Raw genomic sequence first — 20,160 nt, 5'->3', positions numbered from 1 at the left:
TCAGACATGGCAAGGTCATGGTTAAAAATGATTACCTTCAGGAGGTAAATAGCGCGTCCCTCAAATGTGGTTCCGATAACACTGCGAGAGATGAGGGCTGGATTCTCAGTGGCGACTTGTTGAGTCCAAGCCTCTATCTACCAAATGGAATCATTTGTAGATCAATGTGGCATTCTTGGTTCAATTCCCAAAGTAATATCTGTCTAAATCATGTGCACATCATACCGTTTCCCACTTGTTGTACTTCTCATAACTGTGTCCTGTTGCACGAACCCGGCTATCAAACTGAGCCTCCACCACATTTCTCAGGTTGCTTATCAGTACCCTGCAACGAACCAAAGTGGGTGTTCCTATGAACATAAGTGTATTTTTCTCCAGTGAACACACATAAAACCCCAGAGCCACTGCTTTAGTAGATGGCACATTGCACTCTCCATAAATTCTCATGTTGTCCTCTGGTTCTTCCTGATGACCTTCAGCTGCTCCAGAGAGATTCTGTTACTGACCATAAAGAGTGAGTAAGTCACTAAGAAGGATACTGGAGAATGCAAGCAAGGTAGGATCTTCCACAGCCCAAACCTCAGGTATTTGACTATCTGTGAACCTTAAACTTGGAAAATGGTTGCTCCTGGTACCTGGGACATTTTGGGTCAGGGCCTTGGGCTTCCACACAACACTATGTACTCAAAACCTATCTTTGGTCTTTCTTCCTCAGGACTTTTCTGAATTTAGAACTAAAAGTCTTGCGTTTCAGGAAGCTACTCAGTCCTGGGTAAATGGGAGGAGTTGTCACTTTGGACCTGTCTCTAGGTTCTGAGAAAAATATCTTGTCTGGAAATTCAGAAATATTAACAAGCTGAAGATTTACTTGGTAAAAGAAGAATGGGTTTAAAAAACTAGTTTCTATTTGCTTGTCTTTTGGGTGGGTTAAGTAATCTAATAATAGTTCTGTAGCAAGGTAATATGAAAAGTGGTAACAGAAATCTTTGAGGCCTACTATTTAGAGAAATGAATTGTCCAGGTGATAGTTTCTATTATGAGGCCAGTCTGAAGGTGTGTGTGTGTGTGTGTATGTGTGTGTGACTTCACTTCCCTTTCTACTTTGAGTGAAAAGTATGCTTGGAAGAGAGAAAAGTTTATGATCATTAGTATCCTTGATCACAGTACAGTGAATATTACAGACAGAGGCCACTTTGCAGAAATTTCTATTATCCACAGTTAAACCTTGAAATGATTTTATCTGACATACAGAGAATTTCAGACACACATCAAAAGTCTGCTTCTCCTCTGGCTGCCCCAAGGACATTCTGATGAAGTATGTCAGGGACATCCTCTGAACCTTCCTCCTGGTCACTCCTTCAATTGGTGAACTTGGGTACGAACTTGTGTCTGTTTTTGGAAAGTGTAATAAATTAATACTAACTGGAATCTGTTTCCTAGCAAAAGATAAACACTTTCTTAAGGTCTTAACTATCTTAAGGTAGTATTTAAAAAGGAAAAAATGCAGATTTTAAAAGTTATTCCATGGAGAAATATTTTCTATTGAGCAGCTGCCAATGCTTTGTGAGTGTATTAGTTTTCTATGGCTCTTGTCAGTTGCCACAGACTTAGTGGCTTAAAACAACGTGAATTTTTTATTTTATAGTTCTGTAGGTTAGCATTCCAACACAAGTCTCACTGGGATAAAAATGAGGTGTGGCCAAAAAAGAGTTATCAACAGGGAAGCTCTAGGGGAGAATCTAATTCCTTGCCCTTTCTAGTTCTGAGAGGTCGCCTGCATTCCTTGGCCATACCCTTTTTCTCCACCTTCAAGGCTTCAACAGGGGATAAAGTCCTCACATCCAATCACTGTGACCTCTTCTCCCTCTCTCTTTCACTTTAAAGACTCATGATTACAGTGGACATATAGGACAATCCAGAATAATCTCCCTATTTTAACATCAGCTGATTAGGAACCTTAATTCCATCTATAACCTAAATTCCTTTTTGTGATAAACATGACATATTCACATGTTCTGTAGAGTTTTTTGGGGACCATCAGTCTGTCTCTTATAGTTAGGAACAATGATTTTAGTCAGCACTATAATTATATTTACTATCCCAGTTGAATTGTTAAGGAATAGGGTGGAAGTAGAAGGAATCATGAATGAGGAATCAAAAGATCAAGGTCATAGTTTTGCCTAACTCATAAATTGGCTTTAGAAAAGTCATCTAATCCCTGGACCTTAATGTCATAAGTTTTAGAAGGGGGTCATTTGATTAGTAAATATCCAACATCCTTTTCAATTCTAAAATGCAGTGACTTGATTCCAATCTATAAGCCTTAGTCATTTACATACATGTCTTCCAAGTTTATGAAAAAAATAAAAATTTCCCAGTTACCACTGTCATAACTCAGGAAAACGTGGAGGAAAACTAAAAAATAGTTCAGGAAAATGATATTCAAGGATAACAAAAAACTAAAAACAGACTAACCAAACCAAAACAAAGCAAGCCAAGTAAGACAAAAACCTGGAAACAAACAAAAAAATCAACCGACAGAAACTGCTAAGAGGACAATTATGTCTCGATATCATAATGTGAAAGAACAAATCTTACCTAATAAGGATGAGCTTCTCGGAACGAAAAAAAAAAACCCAAGAGGACCAGAAAATGACATCCTCTTTCATTTCAAAGCTTCCAGAACATATTGCTATCCTCTTACCTGCACCCAACCCTTGAGTTGAAATTATCATTATTATTTTTGTTAATTTGTTTATTTTTGAGACAGAGTCTCGCTCTGTCGCCCAGGCTGGAGTGCAGTGGTGCGATCTCGGCTCACTGCAAGCTCCGCCTCCTGAGTTCACTCCATTCTCCTGCCTCAGCCTCCCGAGTAGCTGGGACTATAGGTGCCCGCCACCACGCCCGGCTAATTTTTTGTATTTTTAGTAGAGACGGGGTTTGACCGTGTTAGCTAGGATGGTCTCGATCTCCTGACCTCGTGATCCACCTGCCTAGGCCTCCCAAGGTGCTGGGATTATAGGTGTGAGCCACCTCGCCTGGCCGAGTTTAAATTATTTAGGAGGATCAGTGACTGTGTGGGGGCTGGCATTTTGTTTGGTACTAAGAGACATTCTGTTAGAGTTATTACTACTTTAAATATTAAACATTTTCATCAATATCCAGGACAAAGAAGCATAAAAAACCAGTTAGTTAAATTGAAGATGACACCCAAGAGTAAAAATATCCTCTAGTAACTTGCAAAAGAGCATCAGAGTGAGGTTGAAATGTGTTGCTGACTTCTGCTTGAAGGCGGGGGACTGACCTCAAATGATCCTTCCCAGCCCTGTGGTTATTTGATTTTATTAGATTTAGGACAAAGTACTACTTTAGCTATATTACAAAATATTATTACTAAATAATGAGCTTCCATTCTAGAAGATTAAAACAATGCCTCACAGCTCCAAAATAGAGAAGCATGTATAGTATTTTATACTTTTATATGCTCGTTTTATAGTGCCATCCAACTTCTCCTTTTTTTTTTTTTTTTTCTAACACACAAGCAAATTAGATAACTGGGACTCCCAAAAAAGTAAGGAACACAATGTCTGAGAAGTAAAGAAAGACATGACTCAGTTTTATCCCCCTTTCAGATTTCTGGAAAATAGAATATTTGATCAGTACCTGGACTTTGCGCCCACTGTTATTGAAGAACATTGCTATGTGCCTATTGCTGTCCTGGGACACCTTCCTGTACGCCTCTGAAATATGCAGAAAAATGCTGATATACGTGTGAGCAACAATCAGTCTCCCTGAATCAAGTAGGGCAAAGCAATCTTTCTACAGTCTGTAGCAAGGAATTCCATGGAGGGCAGGCCACCTAAAGGTTCTGTCAACTTAGCTTCATAACCATAAGTTGGAGATTTACACTATCTGATTCCTAGTCTTTCTGTTACTAAGAGTGAAACTTTGTCATTGAAAATTACAGTTATCTTTCTTTTTGCACACATTTTGATTTTTTTCCTATGATAATTCAGGATCTGATTAAAGCTGCCAAATAATACAGGTCTTGGTGAAGAGGGTTGGAAACACTGAAAAAATCTGAAAAGTTATTTTGGTAGAACTTGTGTGCAGTGGATGGCTCTTGTTATATACAAACACTACTGCAAATTTTTGCCAGCAGGAAATCGTCTAAATACTAGTTACCATATGAGGTAATAATGGGATGCACAGGGACTGCTTGCAACCCCAGCAAGGATATTGCTGGTATGCTTCTCCAGGATTTCCAGGGACTTATTATTATTTAATATTTAGAAAATTATATGCTACAAATGTGCTAAGCAGTGAACAGCGAAGCAAAAATTAACAAGCTCTTAGCCCTCAGGGGATGTCCTATGTTCTAGATGAGACAACATTCATACACAATTCCCAAAAAGTTCACCACTAAAAAAGAAAGTGAACTTTCTATCTGATTATAAATAGAGATTGAAATTCTATCAGAAACCATTTTACTGTTTTGTGATAAGGGTAGAATTAAGACATCATTCAGGTAGCTAGGGTTAATCTATGGTCGCTGATCTTTGTTTTTCTTAAAGAATTACAAAGAAACTCATCTTTTTGAATGCTACTGAAGGCTCCAAGGACTAGAATTTTAGCTGTCCTTTTCAGTATAATAAAAAGAGCAAAATGTTATAGACATGAATCTTAATCACATTTTGAGACTTACCAGGTTATATCTTTGTTTTAAAAAGACAGTCAATTCTTAAGGTCACATTTTGACACTTCCTTCAGGCAGAAAGCACATAGCTAAGCTTTGTGAGGCATGATAATGGGGTTAAACATAGCAGTTACTGTTGACTCTTAAAAAAAAAAACGTATAATCTCCTTCTTTGTACAACAGTAAACCATAGCAGCATTCTCAGCAATATAATACCAGTTGTAATTTATTTATATATATATTTTTATTTTTACAACAGCCCTTTGAGAGAGGCATTGTATCTTCATTTTATGGATAAGAAAGCTGAAGCTCAGAAAGGTTGAGCAAATTACCCACAATCACACAGCAATGTGCAAAGCCAGGATTAGAATCTAATCTGTTTTTTTCCCAAAGCCTTTACTTGTTGCACTATGCTACCCACTTCTCCTGATGGAGGTACAGATTTTATAGGTGACAATTCTGACATCTTCACTGGCACAGATACTATTCTTTTACATTTTTAAGACGTGAAAAACAAGAGAAATTTCTGTTAAAATTATATAGGCTACATTCTTCCAAAACATAATGAAGACTTGAGCTTGTGATGGGGGATTGCCGGATAAACATTTGAATGTTCAGGACCGGAGCCCAAGACTTTGTCTTTGTTCCTCCCTAATCTACCCCCTGGAGGAGGACCTCTGCTTTGTACTAGAGACTTTATTTCCTCCTTCCCTCTTATGCAAGTGTCCTGGGTTAGCATGGTCTCTCCCACTTCTAAGCCTCAGCATATGGTCTGTTCTCTTCCTAAAGTATGGTTTTTCCTTGTCTTTTTCTGGCTAATCAACTCCTACTCATCTTTCAGTTCTCAGCTGAAGAATCATTTCCTAGGACAGCCCTCCCTGACCCCTAGACTTGCTCTATTCTTCTGAACTCCAGCACTTTACTCTTCTTTCCATCTGTTAAATACTACTGCAATTCCTTATTTAAAGTCTGTTTTCCCCTAAAGGATGTGAGGTCATATCTGTCCTTATTGGAACTTGATACATGTAGACATTCAATATTGATTTGTTGGATCAGCAAATGGACAATTGCCTTTACTTAGGAAGACATTCTTGTCATGAAAGACCTAGATGAACGAAAGTGGTATTCAGTGAGGGAGACAGGATCAGCTTAGCCAACTACTCTAGTCCTTTCTTTGCGTCTTTCTCTCCATGCCTTCTCCTACCATTAGAGATAGTGGTGGGACTTTAGAGAAAAAAGGACAGAAGGGCCATTCAGACTGACTCTAGACTTATCCTTCTGCTAAAAAAAGCACAAATAGCCCTCATAACTCACAATAGGTCTCGCTGATCCCCTGGAAAGAAGAGCTGATAAGATTTGGGGTTAAAACTATGTCTAGCTGAGAATAGAGTATCCATTGGCTAGGCCTGTACTCTATACATTGCTTGTAAAATGGACCAAGTCAGATATCTGGCAGAAGACTTGGGGTCAAGAATAAAAACCATTTTAATTAGAGCAATAACTAAACACAAAATCCATCAGAACTGAAGTCTTAAGACTTGGAATCCAGGGCCAGCTCTGCCATTACCTATTTGTGGGGTCCTGGGGAAGGCATTGGTCTTGGTCTCATTTCTTCCTTCCCAGAGTTATTCAAAGGCTCAGATGAAAGCATGCATGGGAGAGAATTTTAATATTTATAAAACATAAACTTACTTGTATTGTAGTTCATTCTGCTTTAGAACATTCTCCACAGTGACAGTATCTTCTGCTTTAACACGGAAGTCAACTGTACTGTGAGGTTTGATTTGTGTGACAGAATCTGGCTTCCAGAAGTCAATCTGAATAAAGGACAAGATATATTGGATACCTATAATTCAATGGATGAAGGATAATCTGCGAGCACATTATTGCTCTACTGAATTGAGTTATTTTCAAAATCAAATCATCCATGAAATCTGTTGAAAATATTTCCTTTGAGTGAACAAGGGTTGGAACCAAGCAGTTAGATGTTGATAAAAGTGTTAACAAATATATACATAACCTTGATTGATTATCAATGAACATGAAAAAACATAGAATCATTTCCCATAATGCTAGTTGGTTGTATTCTGTAACTGTTCTTTTCTATTTATTGATTTTCTGGATCACTAACTTGTTGGAATAGATGCTATGTGGTAATGGATCTATGTGCCAGATGAATGATGAATTAACTAGAATTACAAAATTTAATGGAGAAATATGAAGCTGTTTTACTTTTTAATGGACTTATTTTATGAGTTTATCTTGGAAGTCACAGTAATATGTGGAACCAGGAGGATCCCTGACCTGTGGTGGATACATCAGGAAGAAAAATGGCATCTTTTCACAATGGGTATATTGACACTGTGGCTGGAGACAAATTGCTCTTGGGGATCCAGTCATGTACTGACATTTTCATTTATTCAGTTACTCATCAACTATTGTGAGAACCTACGATATGCTAGGCTCTGTGTCTGAGACTAGGAATACATTAGTGGGCAAATCAAACATGGCCTTTGTCTTTATGGGGGAGACATTAGAGAAGATGAAGCCCCAAATAGCTGTTTTTTTTTTTTTAATCTGTGGATGTGTGGTTTTAAGTAACACCTTTCAGTGGAAAAATATTAACTAAAACATACTGTGTCTTGTAGGTGTCTGTTATTCTCTTCCTTGCTTGTGCCGAGTGGAAGCCTAGAAGTCTGAGGTCAGCCTGACATTGGGTCTTTCTTTCTCCCTGTGTCTCAGCCAATCTCTGTTCGGATGTTTGCGCACTGCTTTGGGGCTAGAGATATGTCTGATGGTGATATTTAGGACCACTGATTGGAAACTTGGAAGGGAGTTTGGGCAGACTTAGAGGTTATGCAGCAGAAACTGACAAGGTAATACTGTAAGGCATCTCAGTTTCAGATACACTTGTGGGGCTCCCAGTAACCTATATTCTGTCCTGGTAAGCTTCAAACCACTGTAGAAATCTAGAGGTGGTGAGTCACGAATCAGGCCCATAAGGAATGTCAGGGCAATGGGAGGCAGGGATACTGGTGTTCCAGAAGAAAAAAGCATGAGTGAGGTTGTCACAAAGGGATTGAAAGGATAGAGTATCAATGTTTGGATAAGGATTGGCTGTAGAAGGTGACCTAGTGAGTCAAGGATGAGAGGTTAAATGAAGTGAGGAAGTATAAAGACATGCTAAGATAAGGACAGAGAAAGCAAGGGGCTGGTGACAACTTCTAGTTAGCCAACATTGTGGAGAGAAGGGCAATTGAAGATAAGCACATTATAAGAGAAAGCATATTTTTGAAACTTAGCTCTGAATTTGTGTTCCTAATAAACACCTGTCATTCTATGGTGTGGTGGGAGAGAGAGATATGTCTTTATTATAGACGACAAGGTTGAGAATTGGCAAAGCACATAAAGTCCTCCATGTATCTGTAGCTGACCAGACAGTGTCCCGCTGGCACATAATTGCTGGGACCTTTTAGTGTGCTCAGTGTACTCCCCTTGCTAAGATCTGCCTCTCTGTACCTGAGGGCTCTTTCCTGTAGAACTGGGAAAAGCCAAGTTATCAGCTCCAGGTAGACAGGCGGTACCAAGGAAATTATTCTTTGTGGTTCAACCAAGAATCCTGAAAAGCGAATGATGAATTACTCCAACTCCTTCACCTCTCAGGTGGGATAATTCTGAAGTGTGTTGTTTGCACACATTCCTAGAGTTTCCCTGTGGGTTTACCGCCAGTTGTCCTCTGTGGTAGCTGGCTTAACACTGTTTCCTTTGTTGGCTGCCTTTACTTCTATTTAGCACTCCCCACTTCTTCACCAGGGCTCCCTGCACTTCCCAGATAAAATTCTTTCCCTTGAATCTTTGTCTCAGGGTCTGCTTTGGAAGAGCCTGTATTAAGATGCTAGCTTTCCACTCAAAGCATTAAATGCTTGCATGATGTTCTTGGTGGTGGTTCTAGCAGAACCTTGTGTATATCTAGTGCCACTTCAGAACAGCTTAATTGCTTATAAATGGTTTTCTTTCTAATATTAAACTGAAAATTGTCATCTGTATCCTCCTCAGCTCTTACCCATTGGTCCTAGCTCTGCCAAATATTAGAAGAGTCTATATATTTAGAGAAAGTGTTACTTTTAAGATTTCAGTGCAAGAATTATGGATTCTTTAAGATGGGGCAAATAAATCTCATAAATATGTTTGACAGAAACTTACAGAACTAACCTGAGGTTGCTTAAAAATTTCAGTTTGACATGGAGAAAACCAGTTAGCAAACCTATCAACATACATACAACACTCTGGAGTGTTGCATGTGTGACACAGACCCACTATACTGGAGTTAGTCTCTGATACTTCCTAGGAGAAACATGGCTGGAAATCAGGAGCAATGCTATAGCCTCACAGCTGTTTACCAATGCACCAAATATGAATATAGGTAATAAAGTCAAAGTAATAACATAAGGTGATAAATATAAATTTCAGAAATTACCAGGACCTTGTGAATGAGATGTATGTCTGAAATATAAACATGGAGTGAAATATAGGATGTAGATGTAGGGAATTAAACTATACATTATGAAGTTAGAAAACTGAAGTTATAAAATTATAAATGTGACAAAGAACCATATAGAACACTTATTGGATGATCAAGAGATATCTTTAAATGATAGCATTATAAGAATATCAATTTAATCAGCCGGCTGCCTAACAACTAAAGAATCCTTCCTAAAATATCTCAGAAAACTAGCCTAAAAGCAAGATAAAGTAGCATGCCAACCTGAAATTTTTCCAGGAATAAGATTGGCCAATAAAAAAATAAATATTGGTGTTGGGGATCTTTTTTTCTTCAAAAATTTGCATGAATTTGTTTCTTCACATTGCATTTGACTGTAAGTCAAACATCTGATAGACTTTTCATTTATCTTGGTGAAATTTTCCTTTTTTGTTGGAAAAGAAAACAACTTCTACTCAAGGCCCAATTCCAGACAGCAGTGAGGAACTTACTGGTACAGTAGGAATGATAAGAACATTGGAAGACAGTAACCATGTTACTCCAGGCATAGAGAAAAATGCACCTTAAATTTGAGAAACACAGACTTCAAGACAGTCCAGAGAAAAGTGAATAGGTTTTATGGTGAATGCCTTCAATAAAGGAACAAGCACAACCCTGATTGTGAGGAGATAAAATAAAATCCTTAATATTCAATTATAGATGACAAAAGAAGGGCTGCTGGAGTACAGTGTGGTCACGGATCTGCCCAATATATTCAGCATTTAAAAGGACATGTTCAAAAGCTGAGAGGAAGGACACATGGCCAAGGATGAATACAAAGACTGGATGCCCTTGTAATGATCTTATCAGGAAGGCTACAGCCCAGAATATGCTGTTCCCGTAACTGCTAAGGAGAATGAAAATCTCATTTCAATCATGTTGAAAATAAAAGAATAAAGAAGAAATATGTGTCCCACTGCTTGGAGCTAAAGCATGATGTTTGCAGCCAGAGGAAAGAAAGAAGCCCTATTTAACTGTTTTTTGGCTTCTGTCTTTTCCAAGAGAGAGTTACACTATTCCTTGTTTATTCTATTACTACTGAGAGATGAAATTACCACAAGGATAAGTAAAGATTTTTTCATGTTATGATTTAAACAGAAATACCTTCTTTGGAAAGAGAACATTGAGGCCCAAGGTAGATGAGGACATAGGTGATTGATTATACTAGCCATATAAATTGTATTCAAAATCCCAGACCTAATGATAGTAGTAACAGCAAACACATATAATTCTTACTATTTAAGTTCTTTCTAATTGCTTTACCTATATTAATTCATTTACCTCTCACAACAATCTCCTATGTAAATAGTATTATCATCTTCATTTTACAAATGAGGAAGTTGAGACCCAGAGAGGTGTCCAAGTTTGACTAACAAGTAGAAAGGCTAGGAATTGAACCCAGGCAGTCTAAGTCCAGACTCTCTGCTCTTGACCACTATGAAATGCTGAATTTTAGATAACTAAAAAAATACTGCAGATGTGATTGCAGAACTTTCTCAGCAATCTTGGAAGAATCAGAGCTCGAAGGGCTCACTGGCGAGTAGAGGGGGCAAGTTTTAGATTTTATAAACACGAAAACAGGTGAAGCCCAGAAGCAGGAGCTGCTGGGGCCTGGCATGGATTCTGGCAAAGCTGCAGAGTGAACTGGAAGCAGATGGATTGTGAATGCTGAGGAAAGGAAGCTGTGGTCTCTGGGAGCCAGTATGGTTTAAAGCAAGAATAAGTCAGGCCCAATTAAATTCACCTTAGTTTTGGATGAGAGCACTAACCTGGTAGAATGTTGAATCTTGATCTTAGTAAAGCATTTGATGAAGTCTCTGCATTGATATCTTTCTTTATAAACCAGAAAGCACCAGGCAGAGTTACCCCTAGGTAACACCCCCCTAGCTTGGGTAGTTGAGTAAACTTATGCAAGCAGAATAGGTTAATGAATCTCTTCAGTGCTTAACACTATGTCTGGCACATTGGAGATTCATGATAAATATGTACTGAATGAGTGAAACGTAAAGAAGGCCTCTAATTCTGTGACTCCTGACCTATTTAATGTTTTCTTTTATCAGTGACAAGGATAAAAGTCAAAAAGACATGATTATCAAACTTGTTGGAGAGACAAAGTTAGGGGAAGAGTTATTGCCCTGGATGACTGAATTAGTTTTCTAAAAGATCTCAACATGCTGAAAACAGGCTGTCAAGATAAATCTTAAAAGTGTAAATCTAAAATCCTACATTTAGGTGAAAAAAGTCAATTAGGTAAGCACAAAAGGAGGGACATCCTGTTTGAGGGTGATTCATGTGAGGAAAAAAAATTACCTAATGGTTTTGACTGAACACAGGTTAATATAAGCTCATAGTGTTCTATGACTGTTTAAGATGCTAAAAAGAATCTTAGGCACCATTAATAAATGTCTGCTTTACAAATGAAGGCAAGCAATGGCCCTGTAGTATACATTAATCAGAACACACCTGGAGGTCCATAGTCAATTCTGGTAACTACATTTAAAAAAAGAAATATAGACAGAAAGACTGAGCTGTATCTAGATCTGAGCAGAATGATCAAGAGTCTGTATACCAGTGCTAAGAAAAATTACGGAAAGCTTGAAAAAGATAAATCTTAGAGGTAACATGATATTTGACTCAGCTAAGCCCAACAGGTCAAAGTTAGAGAAGGAAGCTTTCAGCTCAGAATAAGGAAGAAAACAGTTGGAATGATTTGTAAGGCAAGTGGGCTATTCCAAAAAGTAGTATACAAACTATTCCTGGAAGTACTCAAACAGGTTTTACCAGGAGTAGTAACTGGGGATGCTGTTTCCCAGAAGGAAATTCCAGATTTGAGTGGATTGCTGGAATAGATGAGTTTATATTTCTTTCAATTCTGAACTTCTGAGCCTGTGATTATGACACTCTCCACCTTCTTCTTCCTTCCTCTATGCCTTAAAAGCTACAAAATGACTATATATGTTTATGTATGTATATGTGTGTGTGTGTGTATAAGCTAGCAGATTATTTTAGTTTATATATTTATGAAGAAACGGCATTGGCCCAAGTGGAACTACTGTATTTGTGGTCAGCAATAGCTTCCTGCCACATTGTATACGCAGTTTAAAATGTCAGTTCTCACCTCATATATAGTGGATTAAAAAATTAGCACAGAGATGTCAGTTTTTTGAAAGCAAAAGAAAAGTATGAAAATCACTCATGGCTTTTTACCCTCTTTTTCCCCCTCACGTCATATCATTAAGGGGACCTGAATCAAGGTCATGAAAACCCAAGCTGTTTGATTTGGAATGAAAGAAAATCAAAGAGGACAGATGATACATGGGATGTGGAAATGAATTTGAAGTTGGACAAAAGCCCAGTTTTTCAGTAATATCCAAGTTGATCATTTTTCTCTTTTGCCTTAGAAGGAAAGTGACTGTACATTAGATGTTCTGTGACCTTCGTGACAGTTGCAACTCATCCAGTTGTCACACTGTCAGCTCTTTTAAAAGTTACCATGGATTTATAATACTACAGGGCTTATGGCAATCTAATTTAGGCAGAAAAAGAAGACATTATGGCACTAAATGTTTTCCAAGTTTTTATTTCTTGCTACCAAAATGCTATAGTTAATATTTCATGTTTTTTTTTCCATTGTCGGAATCACAGTGCGATCTAAGATTTTAAATTAGATGTGAAGTAAATCAAAATTGTTACTTACCTGGGTCGTGCTGGCCAACTCGCGGATTATGTTAATGTGATTTTCATCTTCAACGTTAACACGGAACACCTTCTCGCTGAATAATGAGATAATAGAAGCACAGAGAATTGGAAATGAGTAATGTGTCCAAATTTGGGGGCTAGCAAGGAAGAAGGACTTGCTCCTTAAAGATGGCTTACTTACCCTTCAAAGTGCTCACCACCATGATGAGCAGATGCCAGGGCCACAGTCACCAGAACCAAGAGTGCCAACATTGTGTCTGACCAGGTCTAGTGGGTAGGTCTCATCTGCTTTTATAATCCTGAGTGTTCTTTGCTTTCTTCTCCTGATTGCAAACAGGAACTATCATATCTTGATTAATAGTTTTCCTGGCATTGTTGCCTTGGTAGCTGTGTAAAGTCTGAGAGGGTATCTCTCTCAACACCTGTGGAAATAGAGTAAATACTCTCAAATTCAACTTATTTAATTTGGATCAGAACTTGAATAGTCTGAGAGTAAATTAGATTTAAATAAAATCTATTTTGTATTTTTTTCTGTTTTGAATTGAGAATTACATACAATAAGTTCTACAGATTTTAGTGTAAAGTTTGATGAGTTTTGACAAATGTGTAAACCCATGTAATAAACATCCCAAACAAGATATAGCACATTTTCATCACCCTAACAAGTTCCCTTGAGCACTTTTCCAGTCTACTTCTGTACTCCTCTCAGGCAAATGTTACTCTGATTTCTGGCTTTATACATTAATTTTGCCTGTATTAAACTTAATGTAAATGAGATTATACAATATATATTCCTTTGTTTCTGGCTTCTTTCATTCAAGATAATGTTTTTGAGATTTATCAGTATTTTTGTTTGTATTACCATTATTACTATTGATATTATTTTTGAGACAGAGTCTCGCTCTGTCACTCAGGTGGGAGTACAGTGGCGTGTGATCTCAGCTCACTGCAACCTCTACCTCCTGGGTTCAAGTGATTCTTGTGCCTCAGACTCCTGAGTAGCTGGGATTACTGAAATGCACCATCATGCTTGGCTAATTTTTGTATTTTTAGTAGAGGTGCAGTTTCGCTGTGTTGGCCAGGCTGGCCTTGAACTCCTGGCATCAAGCGATCTGCCTGCCTTGGCCTCCCAGAGTGCTGGGATTACAGGCATGAGCCACTGTGCTCGGCTTTGTTGGTATTATTGGTTTATTCCTTTTTATTAATAAGTGATATTCCATTGTATGGATATGTCATAATTTGTTTAGCTATTTACTGTTGATATATATTTATATTGTTTCCAATTTTGTGTTATTGTTAATAAGGCTGCAATAAATATTTTTGTACAAGTTCTTTTCTTGGCATATGTTTTCATTTAAGGGGGTGGACATGTGAGTGGAATTGTTAAGTAATAGTGTAAATCTAGGTTTAACACAATAAGATTCTGCTAAACAATTTTTCCATAGTGGTTTGTACCATTTTAAGCTTCCATCAGTATCTAGTGGCTTTATGTTCTCTCCAACACCTTGTTATTTTTAGTATTTAATTTTGGTGTTTCTAATGAGTATAAAGTGGTATCTAATTCTAATTTTAACTTGTATTTCCCTGATGATTAGTAGTGGTGAACATCTTTTCATGTGTTTATTGATCATTTGTAAATCTTCTTTTGTGAAGCATCTATTGAAGTCTTTTGCCTTTTTAAAGAAATTGGTTGTCTTTTAATTCTTGTGTTGTAGCCGTTCTTTATATAGCATGGATACAAGACCTGTGTTAGAAATATATGTTCCAAATATTTTTCCCAGTATGTGGCTTGCATTTTTATTTTCTTAATGTTATGTTTTGATGAACAGATGTTTTTAATTTTGATAAAGTTTGTTTACCAACATTTTTCTTTTATAATTAGTGTCTTTACATTTTTTCAAAGGAATTTTTCCTATCTCAAGGTCTCAAACACATTCACTTATTTTTTTTCTTATAAGAGATTTGTAGTTTGGGGTCTTTATGTAAGATATGAGTCTTTAGTGTAAGATATGAATCATTCATTTTTAAAATATGGATATTCAGTAGATCCACTATTATTTGTTGAAAAGGCTTTTCTCACATGTTCTAGCACTTTCTCTATGGATCTCAATGTATGGTAATGGCTCTTTAACCTTTAAGATAATTTGTTTCTCATGAGAAACAAGGAGACAAACCAAAATGAGGGACATCCTTCACAAAAACTGACATTTACCCTCTAGAAATGTCAATATTATGAAGGATAAAGGCTGAAGAACTAGTCCAGATTAAAGAAGACTAAAGAGACATCCTAGATTGGATCCTAAGTCATACACACACACAAAATGCACTAAACACCACGTTAGCCCTGGGAGGCATTAAGGGCGGCCCCAACTCACTGGCCAGGGTTGTCATGGATGGTAGAATTACCTTAGACTTCCTCCTTGCAGGCCATGGTAGATTCTGTGCAATAGTCAATATTGTTAACAATAGTTAACCATCAATGTCTGCCTTAGACAGACAGGCAACTTTTTCCTTAAGTTTCAGTATTGACTGTTCCACTTCACCTGAGGCAATAATCTGCGTACAACAAATTTTTTTTAAAAGTTAAAGAGCCATTACCATAATTTGAGATCCATAGAGAAAGTGCTAGAACAAGTGAGAGCTGGTCAGGCACTAGATGACTCCATGCCTCACTGAGGAAAAATAACCAAACATAGGCAAAGGAAAACCTCAGAAGCCAAGAGACAAAATGTCATCATATGCATTCTTTGTGCAAATTTGCCAGGAGGAGCACACAGATGCTTCAGTCGATTTCTCAGAGTTTTCTAAGAAGCACTCAGAGAAGTGGAAGACCCTCTCTGCTAAAGAGAAAGGAAAATTTCAATACATGGCAACGGCAGACAGGGCCTGTTGTGAAAAGGAAATGAAAACCTATATCCTTCCTAAGAGGGGGAAAAAAAGTTCAAGGATCCTAATGTGCCCAAGAGGCCACTTTCAGCCTTTTTCCTGATTTTGCCCCCAAATCAAAGCAGAACATCTCGGCCTATCCATCAGTGATGTTGTAAAGAAACTCGGAGAGATAGGAAATAACACTGCTGCAGATGACAAGCAGACTTACGAAAAGAAGGCCGTGAAGCTGAAAGAATAATATGAAAAGGATATTGTTGCACTCTGGGCTAAGGAAAGCCTGATGTAGCAAAAAAAGGGGTCATTAAGTCTGAAAAAAGCAAGAAAAAGAAGGAAGAGGAAGATGAAGAAGATGAAAAAGATGAGGAGGAGAAAGATGAAAAATTGAAGATGAAGAAGATAATGATAAATAAGTTGGCTCTAGTACAAGTTGTTCCCCTAGTCTATAAAGCATTTAAATCCCCTGTAAACCCTCACTCCTTTTAAAGAAAAAATTGAAAGGTAAGGCTGCCTAAGATAAGTTTTTAAACTGTATACTATCTTTTTCGGTATGGTTAACACACTACTAAATGTATCTTCTGATTGTCCTGTCCTGGTGGTATTTTCAATAAGACACTAACGTTGCCTGCTACAGTACTGGGGTTGTAAATGGGTGTGGAAATTTAAAGTAGGTTCTTGTCAGTGCACAGCCCAAATTAGTTGTATATGAGGATGGTAGTTTTTTCATCTTCAGTTGTCTCTGATGCAGTTTATAAAAAATAATTGTTGTTTAGTTAACTGAATACCACACTGTAATTGCAAAAAAAAAAAAAAAGTTACAGCTGTTTTGTTGATGTTCTGAATGTTTTTATTAAACAAATTAAAGCCCACTTACATAACCTTCTGGATATAAAGGATATAAATGGTCTATATATTGATACTCTATCAACACAACTGATTAAAAAGTTGAAAATTTAGGCAATTCATTGACTTTGACAAGTCTGCTTCTTTTGTGGGTGTTAATTATTTCCTTTTCTATATAGTCTCATAGTGTTTTGCTTTTATTTCTTCATATTGTTTATTTATTTTTGTATTCTAGTTGAATATTTGTGAAGCCTTCTCCTTTCCCTGAGATTACAAGCTCCTTGAGATATCAAACTGTCTCATTCATTTTAATTTGTTTTTTAGCAAGCACAAGGTACTTTGTTGAGTGGAAGGATATAGAAATAATGACAATATGACATTTTCACAAGAAAGTCAAATTATTTTGACATTGTTCAATAGTAACATTATAGGGAGAAAAATATTAAGACAAATATTGCTTTCCTAGGAAGGTCAAATTTTATTCTTCCCTTAGGTTAATAGCAAACATACCTTCCAGAATTCCCTTTTGGTTATGAAAATTTACATAAATAAAAATTATAAACTTATCTGAAGTCATAAAATCATCTTACTCTGACCCATGTGTATATTCTTAGAATTGACAGTTTCCTTTTAGTGTCTTAGAATCTTCTGTATTTTCAGAATTAATGATTGAGTGGTGTACATATAAAATGTTTTTTCCCGAGATCAGTTGACTGGGTGCATTCAGGGTGGTGTGGTCATGGACACATGGGATGTCTTTTTTATATTATGCTTTGGGTACCACAAAAATGATACATCACAACATTTGCTTATTATTCATGGATTTGTTCTAAATTATCCTAATGTAATCTGCTTTGTACACCACATTTTATTCTGTTGCTGATTCTTCCAGATTCTAACCTCATTGCTCACTGTTCTGCTTTGTGTATTTTCCTCCCCACTGACCTTGCCTTTTGGATTTGGCTTTTGTTAATGTCTTTCTAGCTTCAACTTTTGAAATCCATCAACCCCAATTTGGGTTCTTTCTTCACTTCCTATCCCTAATTTCCCCTTGTTTGCAACCAAAACTAAAAGTAAACTAGCTAAATGACAGAACTTGTTATTAATATAACTAAAACGTTTAGCAATAGTGTTGACATCACAGGTTTAGTTGGTGATATTGAAACTGCCTTTGCAAAAATTATACCAGCAAGAAAATTATGACAGTGAAAAAAAATCTGACCTAACCAACTCCATTTTGCATCTGACCTCCAAGCTGTTCTTGTTTATTCCTGATTCCTGAGTGTGGGGTGAATTAACTTTAGTTTATAATTGAAATTTGAAACAAATATGATAATATCCCTTTCCCGAAATAAACCCCCTCCTTGCCTGGGGACCAGACTGCCTTTGTAGGACTAACAAATTTGTCACAAGATTAGAAATTATGGCTTAGGAACCAAACAGCTAGAGGCCACAAGATTCTAAACCACTTCAATTGCTACTGGGGATAATATGACTATTGTAAAACCTAAGATTGTTGCTTAAGATATTTTTCAGACCGTGTAATCAATGGATCAGCTAGTGCCACCCAGATCAATAAACTGGCTCATCTGATTCTGTGGCCCTCTCCAGGAATTGATTCAGCATAGGAAAATAGTTTTGACTCCCTATGATTTCATCTCTGACCCGACCAATCAGCACTCTCTGCTTCCTGACCCCCCTACCCAACAAATTATCCTTAAAAAAAACATCCAGTCTCCAAATTTTCAGGGAGATTGATTTGAGTAATAGTAAAACTCTGGTCTCCCATTCAGCCAGCTCTGGGTGAATTAAACTCTTTCTCTATTGCAATTCCTCTGTCTTGATAAATTGACTCTATCTGGGCAGTGAGCAAAATGAACCCATTGGGCAGTTACAATGTTTGTTAAGCCTAGGCCTCTATTTTTGGTCACCTGTGTCATGTAGTTACAGGATGGCCACTAATAAGTACAGTTTTGCATCCTAGTGGATTGGTAACCCTATTGAAAAGATAATTTCTTTTTCCCCCAAATTCCACTTTTTTTTTTTTTTTTTTTGAGACCAAGTCTTGCTCTGCTGCCCAGGCTGGAGTGCAGTGGCACAATCTCTGCTTACTGCAAGCTCCACCTCCTGGGTTCATGCCATTTTCTTGCCTCAGCCTCCCGAGTAGCGGGGACTACAGGCGCCTGCCACCACACCCGGCTACTTTTTTTTTTTTTTTTTTTGTAGTTTTAGTAGAGATGGGGTTTCACTGTGTTAGCCAGGATGGTCTCGAGCTCCTGACTTTGTGATCCGCCTGCCTCGGCCTCCCAAAGTGCTGGGATTACAGGCGTGAGCCACCGCGCCCGGTCTTTTCCCCCAAATTCTAAACCAAATATTTAGATTGATTCTCAGTGGACCAACTTGAGACATGTGCCTCTCTCTCTGAAACCAGTTCTTGTGGTCAGGATGGTGGGATGTGCTGGTTTGCCAGGCCAGGGTAACGGGATCATCCCTAGAACTCTGGCATAAACTCCATACAAAATACTTAATGCAGCTACTACTGCTGCTGCTGTTGCCACCCTTTCCAGAAGAGATCTTGAGCAATCCTCACTTCCATTTGTCACCAGCTTCCAAAGTCATAGGTTAGTGCCCTTGCTACTAGGAGGCTGGGAAAGTGAGAGTCTGACTTTAACTTTGATGGTAGGAAGTGTCTGCCTCCTATGGCTCCTTAGCTAGAGCCTTCCCCAGTCTTAGGGTGTGGGGTTCAGATCTGGACAGCTAAAAAGAGTGACCAATATCCACTAAAGGAGGACATAATTATTTGTGGATGGCTTGTGGTGTGCTGTAATTGGAACTGTAAACACACTGGAAAGTTTATCTCAATCCATACACTGTGGTTCCAAGTGGAGGGCAATTAAGATTTTCAGTTAGTAATTAAATTTTTTTTTTTAGGTGTGAGGGAAATCAAAATATCTTTCCCCCAAATATACTTCTTTGACATATTTTGAGTTGTCTGTTCAGAAGGCCTGCAAACAGAAGTAGCCCTGCAAAGTCTTTCATGGGGGAGGTTTGCATCTGTGGAGAATCCACATTGATGCAGCCAGTTTTTCTATGAGGACTTCCTTCTCTCATCTATCTAGATCTAGGAAAGATTAATTGAAGAGTCTGACCCCTTTAAAGGTCTGAAAAAAACATTTACTATCTCTTCCCTCTGAGGGCTGCTACCTGTGAGGTTTCATCTGCATAACAAGGCCACTTTTGCTAGCCTTGCCTCTTCTTCTTCCCCTCCCATAACCTGTTTTGTCATAGTCCAAGCCCTCATTCTTTCTGTAACCTCGAGATGGCATTTGACCTTCTGAACCCCATTGGAAGGTGGAGAGTAATCAGTCTGTAGTTCTTCCCTGTGTGCACATTAATACATTTGTTTATCTTTTCTCCAGGTAATCTGCATTTTGTGAGTTGATTTTTCAGCGAAACTTCGGAGGGCAAAGGGAAAGTTTTTCCTTGGCCTCTACAG

At 37.8% G+C, this 20,160-nt stretch overlaps 1 protein-coding gene and 1 pseudogene across 1 annotated transcript in view; one reads left to right on the top strand and one right to left on the bottom strand.

Annotated features, from left to right (window-relative positions):
- CPB1 (carboxypeptidase B1) overlaps window positions 1–13,200 on the bottom strand; it is a 32,377-nt gene extending 19,177 nt beyond the window's left edge. The window contains exons 1-5 of the mRNA NM_001871.3: window positions 13,117–13,200; window positions 12,934–13,009; window positions 6,389–6,513; window positions 226–325; window positions 36–137 (exon numbers count right to left, since the gene is read on the bottom strand). Coding sequence (NP_001862.2) covers window positions 36–137; window positions 226–325; window positions 6,389–6,513; window positions 12,934–13,009; window positions 13,117–13,187 — 474 coding nt within the window. The 5' untranslated portion in view covers window positions 13,188–13,200. The remainder of the gene's footprint in view (window positions 1–35; window positions 138–225; window positions 326–6,388; window positions 6,514–12,933; window positions 13,010–13,116) is intronic.
- HMGB1P30 (high mobility group box 1 pseudogene 30) lies at window positions 15,624–16,229 on the top strand (annotated as a pseudogene).

Source organism: Homo sapiens, chromosome 3 (genome assembly GCF_000001405.40).
Source record: "Homo sapiens chromosome 3, GRCh38.p14 Primary Assembly".
In the NCBI taxonomy this organism is placed as follows: domain Eukaryota; kingdom Metazoa; phylum Chordata; class Mammalia; order Primates; family Hominidae; genus Homo; species Homo sapiens.
Note: the sequence above shows the minus strand (reverse complement) of the source record. Positions and strands in the feature narration are given on the sequence as shown.